At 41.2% G+C, this 17,939-nt stretch overlaps 2 annotated features.

The window, feature by feature from the left end:
• Positions 5,626 to 6,126: an enhancer, noted in NCBI's record as "H3K27ac hESC enhancer chr10:29429294-29429794 (GRCh37/hg19 assembly coordinates)". NCBI's record gives its function as "activates a minimal SCP1, AML or CMV promoter by ChIP-STARR-seq in primed H9 embryonic stem cells {active_cell/tissue: H9 hESC(primed)}" and the evidence as "EXISTENCE:reporter gene assay evidence [ECO:0000049][PMID:30033119]".
• Positions 6,127 to 6,627: an enhancer, noted in NCBI's record as "H3K27ac hESC enhancer chr10:29429795-29430295 (GRCh37/hg19 assembly coordinates)". NCBI's record gives its function as "activates a minimal SCP1, AML or CMV promoter by ChIP-STARR-seq in primed H9 embryonic stem cells {active_cell/tissue: H9 hESC(primed)}" and the evidence as "EXISTENCE:reporter gene assay evidence [ECO:0000049][PMID:30033119]".

The raw sequence follows: 17,939 nt of genomic DNA on the forward strand, positions 1-17,939 counted from the left end.
GCACAGTGGCTCACAACTGTAATCCCAGCATTTAGGAGGCCGAGGAAGGAGGATTGCTTGAGGCCAGGAGTTTGAGATCAGCCTGGCAACATAGGGAGACTCTGTCTCTATTAAAAAAAACCTTAAAACAATTAGCTGGGCATGATGGTGCATGCCTGTGGTCCTAGCTACTCAGGAGGCTGATGCAGGAGGATCACTTGAGCCTAGGTGTTCAAGGCTGCAGTGAGCTATGATGGCACTACTAAACTCCAGTCTGAGTGACAGAGTGAGACCCTCTCTAAAAAAACAAACAAACAAAAAAACTTTGAAATGAATGGAGCAAAAGATATCTCAGACAGACCCCATACTCTTCCTAAAGGGATTTAGGTATGCCCCATTTCAGCATGAACGTACGTCTAGAAAATACAAAAGGAGGAAGAATGTTCTGTCCAGTGTTTTATTTGTGCAAATGACGGGATTTCTAAAGCTTTTCAACAACACAACAGTTGGCTGTATTCAAAATCAGCCGATAGTAAGCAGGTACCTTGTCCTCTAAAGGTTTCTAGAAGGCTACATGGTCTGTATTTGGTCATCCTGATTTAATTCCCTATTTTTCTGATAGAGAAGGAATGTCGCTCTCTGTAGAAATATGTGTCCTAAAAGTCCCTTGGCTACTCTGATTGAAAAAAGAAACATGTTTGCAGGACTAAGCTAAGATGTTGAGATAAGAATGAACACAGTGGTCACAACAGATAAACAGGAGGAGGAAAGGAGCTGATGAAAATGGGAATGCTTTCTTTTTTTTTTCTGTCTTTACAGTTGCCTTGCAGAGGCGCTAAACCCCATAACTATGTTTATATTCTGATGATGTAAGACATTGCTTCCAAAGAGATAGCAGTTTCCATAGAGCTGAATCTATGGGAGCACATATTAATCTCTTTTTTATTTTAGGAGGAAGAGAATCACATCACAGAAAAGTCGTGAAATGATTGAAATGTTCTTTTCTGTTCCCCCAAAGCATCATTAAATGTATGTTTCAATCTCCTAATATAATCTGATTAACATATATGCTTGACATGATTCATTAGAATAATGACAATGGGAATTTCCAAGGAACACTTATTCTGTGCCAGGGACAGTGCTAGCCACTCGACATGAATTATTTCACTTAATCTTCTCAGTAATTTAGTTGAGAAAATTGAGACTCTGATTTTAAGTGATTTTTCTAAGGCCGTGTACATAATGCATAGGTTTGAATTCCATGTGTCTTTGACTGCAGAATCCATGCTAGGCCACACCTCCTAGCTCTAAAACAGCAATAATATATCATAAGAAAGGGACCAGGAGATGAAAGGGGGCAGGAATTGGCATCTGCCCAGTACTTGGTCTATATCAGGTACATTACATGTTTTCGCATGCCCAACTTTACATAATTAATAAGTAGGTGAGCTAAGATTTAACACCAAATGGATCTGCTTTCATAGTTCACTCATGTTCCCTCAAGTGGACTTTCTGCCTGATTACTTTAGGTGAGTTTAAAAAAATTAAAATAGGTATTAAAGTTAAATTTAGGGACCACCTAATCCTGAAGCTAACCAAAAACAGTATTGGGAATTAAACTTAAGACACTGATATCCTGATTATCTATTGCTGCATAACAAGTTACCCCAAAGTGTGGTGGCTTTAATATAATAATTTATTATTGTTATTATAATCATAATTCTGTGGATGAAAAACTCAGGTGGAACACAGTGCAACAGCATGCTTCTTTTCTTCTCTTTCGCTGTTATTTATTTATTTAAGTTTTAACTGACACGTAGTAACTATACATATTTATGTGGTAAAGTGTGATGTTTCAATAAAGGCATGCATTGTGCAATGATCAAATCGGGGTATTTAACATAGTCATCACCACATACATTTATCTTTTCTTTGTGATGAGAACATTTCAAAATCCTCTCTTCTAACTATTTTGAAATATACAAGACAATATTATCAACCATAGTCTCCCTACTGTGCAATACAACACCAGAACTTATTCCTTCTGTCTAACTGTAACTTTGTACCCACTGACCAACATCTCTGCATGCCTCAGGATGTCTTGCTTCTGCTCAGCAATGTCTGGAGTCTCAGATGGGAAGACTTGAATGGTTGGGGGCTGAAACAGCTGAAGGCTGGATGGGTATCTCTCTCTTACTCTGCCTTTATCTCTCTCTCTCTCTCACTGTCTCTCTCTCTCCAAAATAGCAAGCTTAGGCTTCCTCACAATATGGCAATCTCAGGTTAGTTGGACATCTTAAACCGCAGCAGAGCTTCAGAGTGTTCCAAGTATTTCAAGAAAAGGAAGTGACATCTACCAGTCTCTTAAGGCCTGGACCAAGAAACGGATACAGTATCATATTTACCATAGTCTGTTGTTCAAACTAACCAAGGGCCTACCTAAATTCAAAGGGAGGGAACAGAGACCCCATCTCTTCATGGGAGAAGTATTGAAGAATACGGAGCCATTTTTAATCCACCACTGCTAAACTTCAAAATCGCCTAAATATATTAATGTCAGCTGACTCACTAACATCAGTATGATAGGCTACATGTTGAACTGTTTTTTTACCCAGGCATTAACCAAACTTGTCAATAACTATTAATATTAGCCTTATTATAGATATAAACCATCATTTGGGCTTTTTTTTTTTTTTACCTATATGTGAAGATCTTAAGGAAGGAATAAAGTAGTATTTACTAATAGTTTACCTACTGTCCAAAAACAGTGTGTTTATAATATTTCATTTAATTCTCATAATTACCTTAATGTGTTATGCCCATTTTATAGTTGAGGAAGTCAAGGCTTAAAGAGATCTAAAGTGGTTTCTAAATATCAGCATTCTTGATGCCTCAAATCGTTTAAACTTTCAGGGTGAATCTTAAAGTTTTTGAAAATTAAAAAAATTATACATATATATTTTGGGTTGATACATAATGTTTTGCATATTTGATGGTTACATGTAATTTAAATGCAACGTACTCTAGTCCACCTAAAACTCCATGGATCCAACACCTACGGATTCTTGAACGTGTGTTTCTAAGTTGTCCATTGTTCAAGTTTCCCGTTTCCATTTAATTCTTGATCCATCAGATCTTGTCTCTAGCTACAGGTCACCGCTTTCCACCTCACCCCACCCTAAATGTCCCAGCTCCCTTATTCATTAATTCCATAAAACTCCTGTTAATACAGGGCTTTCTCGAATATACGGATATAAGTTCTGAAGGTTCGAGGGTAATAGCAAGATCACATTCCACTTGACAGAGAAATGATTTTTAAATGAATGTTAGACAATGCTGTTTTTAAAAACACCAAGGCCATTTCTGTTGCTGGGAATTTCTTACTGGCTGTTCACTCCCACCACGTGTTATAGGCACCTGATATTGCCTCCAGCCTGTTAGTCTCTGGAACTACTTATAGCTTCACCTCACTCCACTCCTCTCCTGGCTGCTGCTATAAACTAATATTCTAACAACACTTTTGTGCACAGCAATTAGGGTCCCTCTTTGTCTTGCCCTGGGCCATTGCAGAAACAGCCTTCACCATCCAAAGAGGTTACTAAAATATTTTTATGCACAATGACACTTCTCTTCCTTTCTACTGTTATCTGCTAGGGAGAAGGTGATACTGCAACAGTTCATGTAATAGATACGCTTTTGAGTTTAGTTTCAATTACAACGAATACTTTTTAAATCTAAAATTCACTTAGCAAATAAAATATGCCCTACACATAGTAGATATTTAATAAATAGGTGAAGTGTGAATTAAAGCAGTGCTAATCAGGAGCCATTATGTTACGTAGTAAAGAAAGCCTCAGTACTTAGTTTCACTGTTTGACCACTAAACTAGCAAAACAATGAATGAAATTCAATGAGGAAAAACATGAAATTGCATTAGAATACACAAGGAATGGTTCAGGGAGCCCAATGAAGAATAGTCAATGGCCATAGAATGAAATACAAAAAAAGAGGGCAAGGTCCCCCAAAATTAGTATTAGTTGGATATTTTTAAGTTTGTTTAATAAATACTTGAAAGAAGATATGTTTTATTTATTTATTTATTTATTTATTTATTTATTTATTTATTTATAGAGACAGAGTCTCACTCTGTCACCCAGGCTGGAGTGCAGTGCTGTGATCATAGCTCGCTGCAGCCTCCAACTCTTGGGCTCATGCAGTCCTCCTGCCTGAGACTCCCAAGTAGCTAGGACTACAAGCACATGCCAACATGCCTGACTAATTTTTTAAATTTTTGTAGAAATTAAGTCTTTCTATGTTGTCCAGGTTAGTCTCAACCTCCTGGCCTCAAGTGATCCTCCCACTTCAGCCTCCCAAAGTTCTGAGATTACAGGTGTGAACCACTGTGCCTGGCCATAAGACATGCTTTAATAAATCCTTCAATAACTTGCAAAGTACTGTGACTGTTGGAAAGTTATTATGACCTAAGAGATTATCTAAAGAACTAAAAGAATGACTGTTCTGGGAATTCAAAGAAATATTAAAATAAGGCAGCTTTGAATGAAGACAGAACAACCCCAAAGGAAAAACAACGGAATCCTTTAAATATATATAAATTAAAAGCTAACCCTTCTTTTAATGAATCTTATTTTCCTCAGCATTCTGTCCTGGTGTGATGTGGCTGTGTTGGCTTTTGCTGATGCCCAAGATGGCGGATCATGGAAACTGTGGTAGAAAGCCACGCCCCATCTTTAGCTCCCTCAACAACAGTCCTTGGTTTACAAAGGGTACACCGTGTGGGCTGCTTTGTGGAAAAGAAGTTTTCCCACAATGCCAATTAAGTTAAATTTGGAGGGCCGAGTCACTTTTTCCCCTACAGCTAAGCTTGAGCCCACGGGAAACCATCTTGATCCTTCCATATAGTGCCTTCAGAATAGAAATCCAAATTGGTTCTGCTACGACCTGGAGTACTGCTGAGATCACTAAACTCCTCTGACCACTCATAAATTTAGCGTTCCCCTTTTCTATGTCAACAAACCCTGGATAATGGTGTTCATTATTTCACTACATTCTCAAAAATAAAGGAGCCCCAACAAAAAACAGTTCTGTGACAAGCTGTAATATAGGAGAAAACTCATTTCCATATTATATTAAGCACACATGGGGGCCTCATGTTCTGTTATGTGCTATCATGACTACTTTGGGGTACCTTTATTATAGAATTCTTAGTTTTCTCAGAATTTTTAAAACTACCAATGCAGAAAGTGAGTGCCATTATTTTTGCCATTATTTTTATTCGAAGTAAATGAAAAAGAATATTTATATACACTTAAAAAGTGCCATCGGGGACATTTTATCTTATAGGAAATCTAGAATATATACTCCCTAGTGCCTTGAGATGATTTTTAAAGAACACATTAATCTCATTAGTCCCACCCCTATGGGTGGCAATGTTTTACTTTCCTTGGGTTTATTTTTAGTATTGTGCTTCCAAATTTTGTTTGGGGATGAAAAAGGTCATATGAAGGCCTTTTTTTGTATTTTCTGTAAAGCATATAAGGGCTCATTGGCTACAACCCTCTTAAAAATCAGTGGCAGGAAAAAAGCAAGTATCTTCTGAAGCAGTGAAATGCTTCCTTTCACTGGAGGCAGAAAACAATGTAACCCATTGTTTTTACTCTTTCCCTAAACTGCAAGGAAGCTCAGAATTAAATTTAATGTTCAGTTGCAGTAACTATCTTAAACTTCCCCTTTTATATGCTTTTTGATTTTCTGTCTATTTTAACAAACTTACTGTGTATGTAACGTTTTATTGAAACCTGCTTAAAATACTTTCTGGCAGAAGGAAGAATGTAAGTTATTCTTTAAAAACAAAAACAAAAACAAGACCCAACTCCAATTACACTGAAATGTGCAGGTTATTTTAGATGTGAGCCCACAGAACAATCATCCGTTAGGTTACTTGGGAGAATTGCCTCTACGTATCCACTCTGTCCTTGTGCATAAACACTCCAAATTGAGAAAAGTAGAAAGGCCATTTTGAATTTGACTTAAAAAAAAAAAATCCAAAAAACAGAGTCTCGTTCTGTCACACAAGCTGGAGTGCGGTGGCACGATCTCGGCTCACTGCAACCTCCGCCTCCCAGGTTCAAGCGAGTCTCATGCCTCAGCCTCCCAAGTAGCTAGGATTACAGGCATGAACCACCACGCCCTGTTCATTTTTGTATATTTTAGTAGAGACGAGGTTTTGCTATGTTTGCCAGGCTGGTCTCGAACTCCTGATGTTAAGTGATCTGCCTGACTCAGCCTCCCAAAGTGTTGGGATTACAGTCATGAGCCACGAATTTGATTTCTTGATGAAAATCTACTTTCTGATATGATTCTCCAATGAACTTTTCCCTTGGGCTTGGAGAGCAAAAAACTTCTACTTTGTTCTCAATTTTTTTTTTTTCTAAGAGATTCCCAAATGATGAGTTAAGTCCAGGAGAATTTTTTGCCTCTGACTAGCACCCAGTATGGGTCCCCGCCTTGCCATATGTGGTTCTGGGTATGAATAACTGGGCAAAAAACTTATTTAAGTCCTCCTTACCAAGGGATGTTTGTTCTATCTGGCTTCTAGTGAGGTAGAAAATGTCATCAAGTTGGACTTTTCAGTTCTGGTATTAGTACTGTTATATCTGATATTGCAAATTCCAAAGGGCTAAAAAAATACAGTCAAAGAAAGCCAACCAAATTGCTTTAAAGCTTTAAAAACAAACATTTGCATTTCAATCATGGGTAAAGGCCTGGGAAAGAGGGAAGAATCTGTGCAAGTATTTAAATTAAATCAGTTTGCCCACCTCCTAACACATTCTTAGACCGGTGGTATATATTGGCGGGATTCTTAAACTTTTTGTAATTGTGTGATAAATAATAGCATGTTCAAATATCTCATGAATTATGATTAGAATCCAATGCTGAAGCTTAACATCCCTTTTGAGAAAAATATAGTCAGTGAATCATTCTTTATAACAAAGAGCTTGGGAAAAAAATTAAGAACAGTCACAAGAGAATTTGGGATATTGGTAACCAATCAGAAGGTTTCAGGAAAAAAACAGTTTGCATTTGGTATAACTTAAGAGACTATTTTGGAAATTTAATAAACCTAGAACAAAGTTATTTGAAACTCCAGTAATGAATACAATGGTTAAATTCCACTCATTCCTGCATCATGGCAGAAATACCCTTATCTCTGAACACAAACCAAAATACACAAAGTCCTGATGCCTATCTGCCAGCCCTGGAGGGCAGCCTGGCAGTGTGAGAAGGAAGAAATCTCTTAAGAGCCTTCTCTTTTACCATATGTGCTTTCTACTAACTCTGTCATCTTTTACTTCATCCAAACTGGAAATGAATGAGCAGGCCTTCTCAGATGGCAGAGGCTACTGATGTTGGCAGTAAATATATAAATGAAATAAAAACAGAAATAACCAAAAAACCCCAACAAATTAAAACAAGCTCCTGAAAGGCACAGCTCCCTTCTACCCTCTCTAAATTAATAACAGACTTATTAGTTCAAAGGTAACTTGCGAGAGGTTAGAGTTTCTTTTAAAAAACCTAAATATAGATTAATATATTCCCCCACCCCTATATTAATACTTTTTACAAATAAACACATTTGGTTTAGCATAAGGAATATTTAAATATAAACAGTAGTTTTCTTACACAAATGTATGTTTTTACAATACTAAATCAACCTCACACCAACAAGAGTTGCAGCACTTGACCATGTTTTTATTGCAATCTACATCCATGATTTCTCCTTGCCATTAGAAGTGGTGTGGAAGTGCTGGGAAGGGAAGAGCGTGGTCCCTTTAAATGATAGGGAACCGAGGAAGGGAAGTGCTGAGTAGGGGAGGGTGTGGTCCCTGGCTAGGGCTCCACCCCCACGGGCCCAGGTGAGGACAGGCACTCCTGCTTTCGCCGGCTGTTGCATTTTCCAAGACCACTGTGGCCCACCATGCCCCCGTCCTGGGCCTATAAAAACCGGAGTCCCTAGCACAACAGAGACACAAGCCGCTGGACGTAGAGAGGAGCACATTGGCGGAAGAAGGCGCAAGCGGCTGATTGTGGAGAGGGCCTCCAGAGGAGAGCGCGGGCAGAAGAGCAGGACAGGCACCCGCTGGCCGGGAGGTCATTGACTGGCAGAACGACGCGGAATTTGGCTGGAGCAGTCGGAGGAGAGCCCAGGACGCCCAGCAGCCCGACTCCAGAACAAAACCATCTCCCTTCTGGCTCCCCCATCTGCATCCTTGCTGAGCCTTACTTCTACTCAACAAAGCCTTACACATTCTCGCAGCCCACGTGTGATCCGATTCTTCTGGTACACCAAGGCAAGAAACCCCAGGATACTGAAATCCCTCTGTCCTTCTGATAAGGAAGGGAGTCTCATTGAGCTGGTTAGCACACGCCGCCTGTAGACGGCAAGCTAAAAGAGCACCCTGTAACACATGTAACACATACCCACTGGGGCTTCAGCTATAAACATTCACCCTAGACACTGTCTTGGGGTCGGAGCCCCACAGCCTGCCCATCTTTATGCTCCCCTAGAGGTTTGAGCAGCAGGGCACACCCTCATCGCACGCCCTGGGAGGGGGACAAGGGAACCTCTTCCATTTCAGAAGAGTGGTGGTAGCTCTTAAAACTGTGATCTGGGTCACTGTTCTCTGCAGCCAGCACAGATGTGTACAGAGATGAAGGCACGTGGTCTGCAGTGACACTCGGGCACTAGGTAAATGATGAGGACATTTACAAATGGTATTCGATAGGTAAATTCATAAGTGCCAACGGGTAACCAGAATTCTATGTCCCAGAAACTGGTGGTGCACTGAACTTTCTCCATTCTCCTTCCAGATCCCCTGTCGGCATTTCTGTCTTCTTTTCTGAGCTCAGGAAGCTGACCTCTGCAGATTGCATCAAGTGGGTCTGAGACCCCTTTCCTTTGGCTTTCTTGCGGTTTCAGCCAATGACAACCACTGTAGCAGAGCAGAGGGGGACTCATTCTGCTGAAAGCCACAGCTCCTATCCGGTGGTCTTAGAGCTTGGTAGGTCCTGTAACTACCTGCATCCTTGCTTGTAGGTTTAAGGGTGGCAGTCACTTCCCTTTTGCTAGCCCCAGAGGGGCTTTACAGAGTCTTGGTTTCCTTGCCCTTACTTTCATATAACCTCCTTTTATTTAAAAAAACTGTTTAATTATCACATTTGAGTGTCTTCTTTTTCTGGCACATGCAGCTATGTAGATTAAAGGGGTAACTGTACTTTAAAAAAAATCAATAAATCAGACTTTTCATTACTTCGTCTGGTCTCTTCCTTATCCCTTTGGTCCAAATGTATTATGCAGTATTGAAATATGGTGGTAATTCATGAGGGCTAATAATCTCATGTATTGAGTACTTAGGTGCTAGAGTTTGGCATGCATTGTCTCATTTAATCTTTATTATTACCCACCTGGAAGATAAGTATTATTATCTCAATCTTCCACACAAGAAAACTGAAGTACAGATGTGTGAAGGAACTTGCCCAAGAGCCCACAGCCGGCAGCCTGTGTGGGACTGGAGCCTGCATTCTTCATTCTCAGTGCAAAATCAAACAGTGAATTCCTGGGGTCAGAGCAGTTGGTCTTAAAGTGGGTCACCTTCCCTGCTTCTACTGGTTGTTTCTCCCTTTCCTGATTGCCTTCTCTCTTCCTTCTCATTTTCTTGTTTGCGACTTTGACTTCACCTCATCACTCTTCACCCTTTGTCCTTTACTCAGCCTTCTACTGTCTCATGAGCTGGATTTTCTCCTCCAGTGCAACACACAGCAAAATATCAACAGCTACAAATTGTTTTAAGAGTCAGTTGCAGCCATTACAAATTAAGCTTATGGAAAGTTCTTAATGGTATGGAAAAGGCGGGATTGTGAATTCCCTAAAGCAGCACTGTCTTGTTCATTGAGCTTTCCAGCAGTACAATGCAGGCACTCAGATGATACTCAATACACAATTTTTTTTTTTTTTTTTGAGACGGAGTCTCGCTCTGTCGCCCAGGCTGGAGTGCAGTGGCACGATCTCGGCTCACTGCAAGTTCCGCCTCCCGGGTTCACGCCATTTTCCTGTCTCAGCCTCCCGAGTAGCTGGGACTACAGGTGCCCGCCACTGCGTCCAGCTAATTTTTTTGTATTTTTATTAGAGATGGGGTTTCACGGTGTTAGCCAGGATGGTCTTGATCTCCTGACCTCGTGATCTGCCCACCTCGGCCTCCCAAAGTGCTGGCATCACAGGCGTGAGCCACCGTGCCCGGCCTCTACACAATTTTTTAAGGAATGCAATAGTAAGCTCAGAAAGCAGGACACACAGTTCCATGCACAGTGCAATCTCAGGAAGAAATCACATGTGTAAAGTGAAGCCAGGGCAGAAATGTGCTTACCTAGTATCCATAGTTGTGTTAAGATAATGGCTTTTCAGGTGCTTATTTGAATGGTTCAACTTTTCTCTAGTTTTCAGATTTTTCACACTGGGCATGTTTTACTTTTTAGGCATAAATGTAACAACAACAACAAAAACCCCAAAGTGATATGGTTTGGCTGTATCCCCACCCAAATCTCGAACTGTAGTTCCCATAATTCTCATGCATCGTGGGAGGGACCCCGTGGGAGGTAATCGAATCATGGTGGCAGGTCTTTCCCATGCTGCTTTCATGGTAGTGAATAAGTCTCATGAGATCTAATGGTTTTTTAAGATCCATCAGATCTCATGAGACTTAAGATCTATGGTTTTATAAAGGCGAGTTCCCCTACACAAGCTCCTGCGTGCCACCATGTAAGACATGACTTTGCTCCTCCTTTGCCTTCTGCCATGATTGGGAGGCCTCCCCAGCCATGTGGAACTGTGAGTCCATTAAATCTCTTTCCTTTATAAATTACCCAGTCTTGGGTTTATCTTTATTAGCAGCGTGAGAACAGACTAATACACAAAGCAAAACGGGAAAAGTTCCACATAACGAGGTGGTAAGCCCTGATTCTCCCCTGGCATGCTGGACTCTGGCCTGTCATTCTCTCTGCTCAACAGAGCCAGACAGGGCCCCGGGCAGCTTACCTACACCTAATGGGCAGCAGTATTATGGAATAGCAGGCATTGAGTCTCAAAGGACCTGGGAGCTTATCTAGTCTGATACCACTCTTCTTATCGCCTTAGAAACTGGGACCCAGCACTGACTTGCTCTACATCAGGTAGTGGGTTCCAGAGAAACACAAGCTAAGACTCCTGATGACTGGGCTTCTCATACAGGGCTGTCACCATTTCTCTTTGCAGCTGTCTAGAAGAATCGTTTTTAAGTGTTGGCATAAGCATTTTCATTTCAACAGGTGTTTAGCTGTGCCTCCCGTTCTTGAGGTCAGGCACTGTTGGAAAGACACAAAAGTGTTGGATCCCCAAGGTGCTAAAGTAAATGAAGCACTTCATAAACACAGTAGGACCTCTTTCCCTGGAGAGATGGAAAATAGCACACTAGTGAGGTGGAAGCATTTTCCCTGAAAAAAATTTTTCATTTAAATCTAGACACAGTGTCTGGCTGGGGTGCAATGGCTCGATCATAGCTCACTGCAGCCTTGAACTGCTGGGCTAAAGTGATCCTCCCATCTCAGCCTCCTAAGTAGCTGGAAATACAGGCTCACACCACTGCATCCGGCTAGTTTTTATTTTTTTATTTTTTGTAGAGATGGAGTCTCATTATGTTGACCCAGCTGGTCTTGAGGTCTTGACCTCAATGATCTTCCCATCTTTGCCTCCCAAAGTGCTAGGATTATAGGCATGAGCCACTGTGCCTCACCCTGAAAAGTTTCTTTTGGAAATCTCCAATAAAAGCCAAGAATATCATACTCCAGGGCAGTCTTGGGGTGGTCTGACTTGACCTAAGAAAAGTCCCTCCAGAAATGGACAAACCACATGTCTGAATAATCTTCCCTTTCTGTTTATGCATTGAATGACTTCCCCATGTGAAGCATATGCATGCTGCAAACACAACAGTGAACAAATGCACTGACACTTGTGCATGAATATATAATTACAAAGGGTGTAAATGTCATAAAGGAAGATACAGGCAGCATGGAGAGTGCTCAGCAGGGAATCTGCCCCAGGGTGAAATTCTAGGAATTTCTTCCCAAGGACTTTCACTTTCATAAAGGATGTGTAAAATATGGGGAACAGCATCAAGGCAGAGGGAATAACGTGCAAAGGCTCAGAGGTAAGAGGAATTTGGTATGTTGGAGAAAGTTACAGAAGACAAAAGACTCAGATCATTCCTTTGGAATGCCTGATTCTGAGCATCAGGGCCTTCTGCTGTTTTGCTTGGGTGTTTTTGTTTATTTTCTTTCTTTCTTTTTTTTTTTTTTTTTTTTTACAGAGTTTGGCTGTGTTGCTCAGGCTGGAGTGCTGTCGTGCTGTCATAGCCCACTGAAACCTTGATTTCCTAGCCTTAAGTGATCCCCCCACCTTGGCCTTCCAAAGCATTGGGATTACAAGCATGAGCCACTGCACCTGTCTGTGTGTTTTCACTGCAAAATGTACCTCTGGCAATTGAAAGTGCTGGCTTGATGGCATTTGGAGATTACATGTAAAGAATAATGATTTTTAACTTTGTCATCATTAACATTAGTCAGTATTTCAGGCAATAATTGAGTCACTTTAAAGATCACTCCAGGTTCATGCTCACAAAATCTATCAATAGCACATGGAAAGGCATCTTTTTTTCCTCTAGTAAGTGATCATGCATGCAGTTAATCTGGAAGGGTTTTAAATCCTTAGAGTAAGAATAATAAGAAATCAAAACTCAAATGTTTTACACTACTTGGAAATATTGTGCCTCTCTTGAGTTTAATCCAGTTGATCTTGTTTCTTGGGGTAGAATTAAAATATAGGTTTTGCAAGAGCTTTCATGTTCAATCCATATAGCGAGGTCATAGACCCTAGAATCCCCAGAGAAGATAGGGCTAACTAAAGGTTAATGATAGATACAAGTGATCTCAATTTTAAGGCAGATTTATCTATGAAAGTGTAAGATGCAGAGGTAGTTCATGAAACCTGACTCCTCGTGTAAGTATCTTGTTAACTTTTCAGGAATGTCAAAGAAACTATTGAATTTTTGGAAATGGGACAAATAGCCAACACATCTCTCATTCAACATATATCCCATCCTTCCCCACTTCACGTTACCTGCAGATGTGGTGAGAATGCCTTGTACATATCACCTAAGTCACTGATAACAGCTAAACAGGGTAAAACCTAAAACTAAGAATGTATCACTAAAGTAACTATCCTGCAACTGGGCATGTTGACTCACACCTGTAATCCCAGCACTTTGGGAGGCCAAGGTGGGCAGATCACCTGAGGCCAGAAGTTCAAGACCAGCCTGGCCAACATGGCAAAACCGTGTCTCTACTAAAAATACAAAAAAATTAGCCAGGCATGGTGGTGGGTGCCTGCAATCCCAGATACTCGGAAGGCTGAGGCAGGAGAATTGCTTGAACCTGGGAGGCGGAAGCTGCAGTGAGCTGAGATCGCGCCATTGCACTCCAGCCTGGGCATCAAGAATGAAATTCCGTCTCAGAAAATAAAAAGTAACTATTCTGCAAGAAGACAGCCGTCAGCATCATTCATGTCCTTTGTTCTCCATCAGCTACTAATGCACTTAATTATTTTAGCTTTCAATCTGTATTTCTCTATCTTGTCTACAGAATAACCCAAAATATACTGTCACACGCCTTGCTGAAGGTCAGACTTACCTGTTTCCTGACCATCTGTCCAGTCAGATTGTCCAGTCAGCTTGCCCAAAATGGAAATTAAAGTGATTGGACTTATCCATCCTTAGTGAATGCTAATTGATTTTTCTTCATTTTATAAGATCCACCCTTTTCTTTAGTAATCCATTTTGAATCCTGCCCTCAGTGTCTGGGTTAAAGACAACCTTACCTTAAATCTAGAGTCTACTTACATTTTTATGTGGAATTAGAAAGTGCAGTTTGTTGACATATTGGTTTTTATTGGCTTTCTATTTGACCGTTGGCAGTTTTAATCAGAGTTATTCCAAACTCTCTATAAATTGATTCAAAAAATATTATTATGCAAATTTGTGCATGTCTAATATAAATATAATCACAAGTTTGTCATTCAAGGACATTTATGGTTTACCCAAATAGGTTGTGACAAAGGCATGAATATATACACATACCTTTCGGTAAGTTAAATAAATTTTGCCCTGTATATTCCCATATCTCCTCCCTTACTCTTCTGCAAGGCCTTTCCTTGGATTTCCCAGCTTTCTCTGGAAGCTCTCGAATACCCAGGTTTTGACATCTATTTCAAGCCTTCGATGAAATCATTATGTTGACCTAACTGAGGAATTTTCTATGCATGCATAATCATTCAGCATTAATGTCTCAATCAAGACTTCTTATCTGCTAGTTTTTATGGGCCAGAAGCATAAACCAGCTCTTTTTTTCTTGTTTTTTTGACACAGGGCCTTGCTCTGTCACCCAGGCTGGAGTGCAGTGGTGCGATCTCAGCTCACTGCAGCCTCTGTCTTCTGGGTTCAAATGATTCTCATGCCTCAGCCTCCCAAGTAGCTGGGACTACAGGCGTGCACCACCACGCCAGGCTAGCTTTTGTATTTTTAGTAGAGATGGGGTTTCACCATGTTGCCCAGGCTGGTCTCTAACTCCCGACATCAGGTGATCTGCCCTCCTCAGTCTCCCAAAATGCTGGGATTACAGGCGTGAGCCACTGTGCCTGCCCAACCAGCTCATTCTTTTCTTTTCTAAGAATCAAAGAATAGTAACTGCTGAATTTTTGTTCCTATTGCAAAGGGCTTTACTATTACTTTGTCCCTTATGAAAGTAGATGTGAGATTTTGATTGCGTTTGGGTTCTGAGAGATGACACTTCTGCCAGATTCTTATAAATATTGTCTATTATTATGTGACATTATTATAAGGACTGACTAAGGTGGAAAATTTTGGGTTTCTTTGTTTTTCTGAGTTTGCAACATAAATCTCAACAGGAGAATCACAAAACAACAAATCCAAAAGAGATTAAAAAAAAAATCAGTCTGCTAAGTCTGCTCAGGTTAATGTGTCTTGGCTCATGATGGTACCCAAAGCAGCAGGGTCCAATGAGCAAGAAGCAGAAAATACCAAAGACATCCCCATCTGTATAGGCTTGGAAAATGTCACTGCATGTACCTGACCTTCCACTATTAAGGTAGCTGATTTATCCCTTAGCTAAAGTTGCTCTCTCTTCCTAAAAGATCTTGCTTGTTTTAACTTTGTGGCATTCATGTTGCTGTTCCAGTCCAATCCCAGGATAAACTTCTGAGGTTGCAATGCCAGTTTGGAGAGCAGGACAGCAGCAAATTCCAAGGGAAGCCCTGGGGTTATCGCAAGCTCCAGCCGCCTGAGTTAGGTCACGTTGCCAACTTCAACAGAGCTTGACCTCAAGCTGAACTCCGCATTGCCAGGCTGCAGAGAGCTAAGCCAAGCAGCTATAACAAGTACAGGCCTTCCCAGCCAAGCAGGAGCCCACCTAAAATAAACCTGTAACCTTTCCCCAGAAAATGTTGTGTTTGTTTATAAATAGCCTAACTGCGTAGCCCCTAGAGTTCACTCATGGGAGCAGGAAGAGTCAACTTGTGTTAAACCCTCAGAGCTTCTCAGGTACCCCCCAAACTCCAGGCCTGTACTCACCAAAAATGGATCATTCTCTTCTTGGACTTCCTAGAATCCCAAGACCCAGGGCAGAAAGGAGAATAGCTTCAATTTTCTAGCGGCTAGGAGGAATCTAACTCTATTTTCCCTATGGGTAACAAAGCGCCTGAGTTAAAGTTCGAGATTTGGTATAAAAATGATAGCCACCCTTACCACGTGCCAGGTACTAGCCCATGCATTGCACATAATAACACATTAGCAAACATCAACTCATTTAATCCTCAGAACAACCTTGTAGAAACACTTCTCAAGGCTATTTACAGTCAGCTCTATTCCCAGCTGGGAGAATTCCGGCACAGAAAGGGTGAGTAGCTTTCTCAGCTAACAGGCACTGGAGGCAAGAACTGATCCAGGTATTTTGAACACAGAATTTACACCGTTATATTCATTCTTTGCAAGCCTGGGTGATGGAGCAGAAGGGAATTGGTGTCAGGATCCTAAGTCAGATGTGCCAAGCCCAGGCATCTCCAAATCTTGAAGTCCACAGAAATGGGAGAAAATAGCAAAAGGCACTATAGGATGGATGGGGGTCTCAGCAGAATGAAGGCTAACAGAGCTTAGGAGGGGAGGATCTCCCCCTTCTTCCCCATCCTACCGCCACCCCCAGCCTGCAGGCAGAATTTGATTGTAAAGGAATTCCCATTCAGAGGCTTAGCCTTAATTAGGTTAAATTCCTGGTGACCAGCAATTCCAATCAATCTGACCAGAGAAACCAGCCCTTTCAGTGTGAAGAATACTCTCATCCTTTCCTACTGGCAGGCTGTGAATACTGGCTTCCACCCCAGGCACCCACCACCCACCCACAGGCTCTTTCACAGCAATGCACTAAGCTCTCTCTGCCTGGGCATTCCAGCAGCTGGGATGTTCTACTGGTTGGTGCTTCTCACATCTTCTGTACAAAGAGAGCTGATGTTCCTGAGATTACTTCAATGCCCTTCAAGATCCAGTGAATCCCCAATGCCTATCACAGATTCCATTTTCAATGTAATTTTCAGTTTGTGAGGTCATTTATTATATTTTAGATCTTCCAAAATTGGCATCATATATGACATAAACTAAGTGCAGTAGCCAGATTATTTTTTTAGCCACTCACCCACTAAACGGCTCACTCAAGTAGGAATAGCCCCCACTCAGGAATTAAAGCCTGAAGGATACTGCTTATCAAATTCCGGGACAATGATTCCAAGTATCACTGGGATCAACCAGCATTAGGTACCCACAGATAACAGTGCCTTAACACAGAATTTCTCAAACTTGAAGGTGTATACAAATAACCTGTGGACCTTGTTATCTTATTGCTGTGTTTTGTCGAGAGTTTTTGTATGTGATTACTATTTGAGACAGGATCTGGCTCTGTTGCCCAGGCTGGAATACAGTAGCACGATCATAGCTCATGGTGACTAAGGGCCTTGTTAGAATTCAGGTTCAGATTCAGTGGGTCTGGGGTGGGGCTGAGAATCAGAATTTCTTACAAGTCCCTGGGTGATGCTACGTGGGGAAACTATACTTTAAGGAGCAAGGCCTTGAAAAGTTCATTTATCTTGAGACTCTATGCTCCTGACTGATGTTGTACAAATTGATGCAACATAGAAACTTCCGGAGGGTGTGCTCCTTATTACGGACACCCGTGAAAGAAAGTGAATTTGTCCTGGGCTCTTTGGATGGGACGATCTTTTCAGATCTCAATGGTTTTAAGTTTTTTGACTCTGTGCTTTCCCTTTGCTCAGAAAATATTTCCTATGGGACTGTTTTTCTGTCTTAATATAAGCACCTCTACCTCAAAGGAACTCCTTGTCTCTGAGCTGAAGCTCAATAAAACTTTTTCAGGGCCCTGTGGTTTGGTTATTTCATGTCTTTACATGTGGGTTACAGGATTATGCTGAAAGGGGGGAGGTGAAACAAATGTCTACTCTATTGAAATTGGAACAACGATTGGAACAAGAATTTTAAGCTTTTTGAGGATGGCCACGTCGTCTAACCCCAAATGAACAAACGACGTGAGAGGCAATACAGCAGAGAAGCAAGACTTCAGGCTTTGCAGAAAGAGAGACCCTCATTCAAGTCCAAGTTCTGGAAGCCACAGGAGTTGTCACATGGGGCGAGTTTCCTAAACTTAGTTTCCTTACCCATAAGATAGGTGAAGCTGTCATGAGTAAAAGAGCACTGGCGAGACACGTGGCAAGACAGAGA

The sequence above is a fragment of the Homo sapiens genome, chromosome 10 (assembly GCF_000001405.40).
Source record: "Homo sapiens chromosome 10, GRCh38.p14 Primary Assembly".
Classification (NCBI taxonomy): domain Eukaryota; kingdom Metazoa; phylum Chordata; class Mammalia; order Primates; family Hominidae; genus Homo; species Homo sapiens.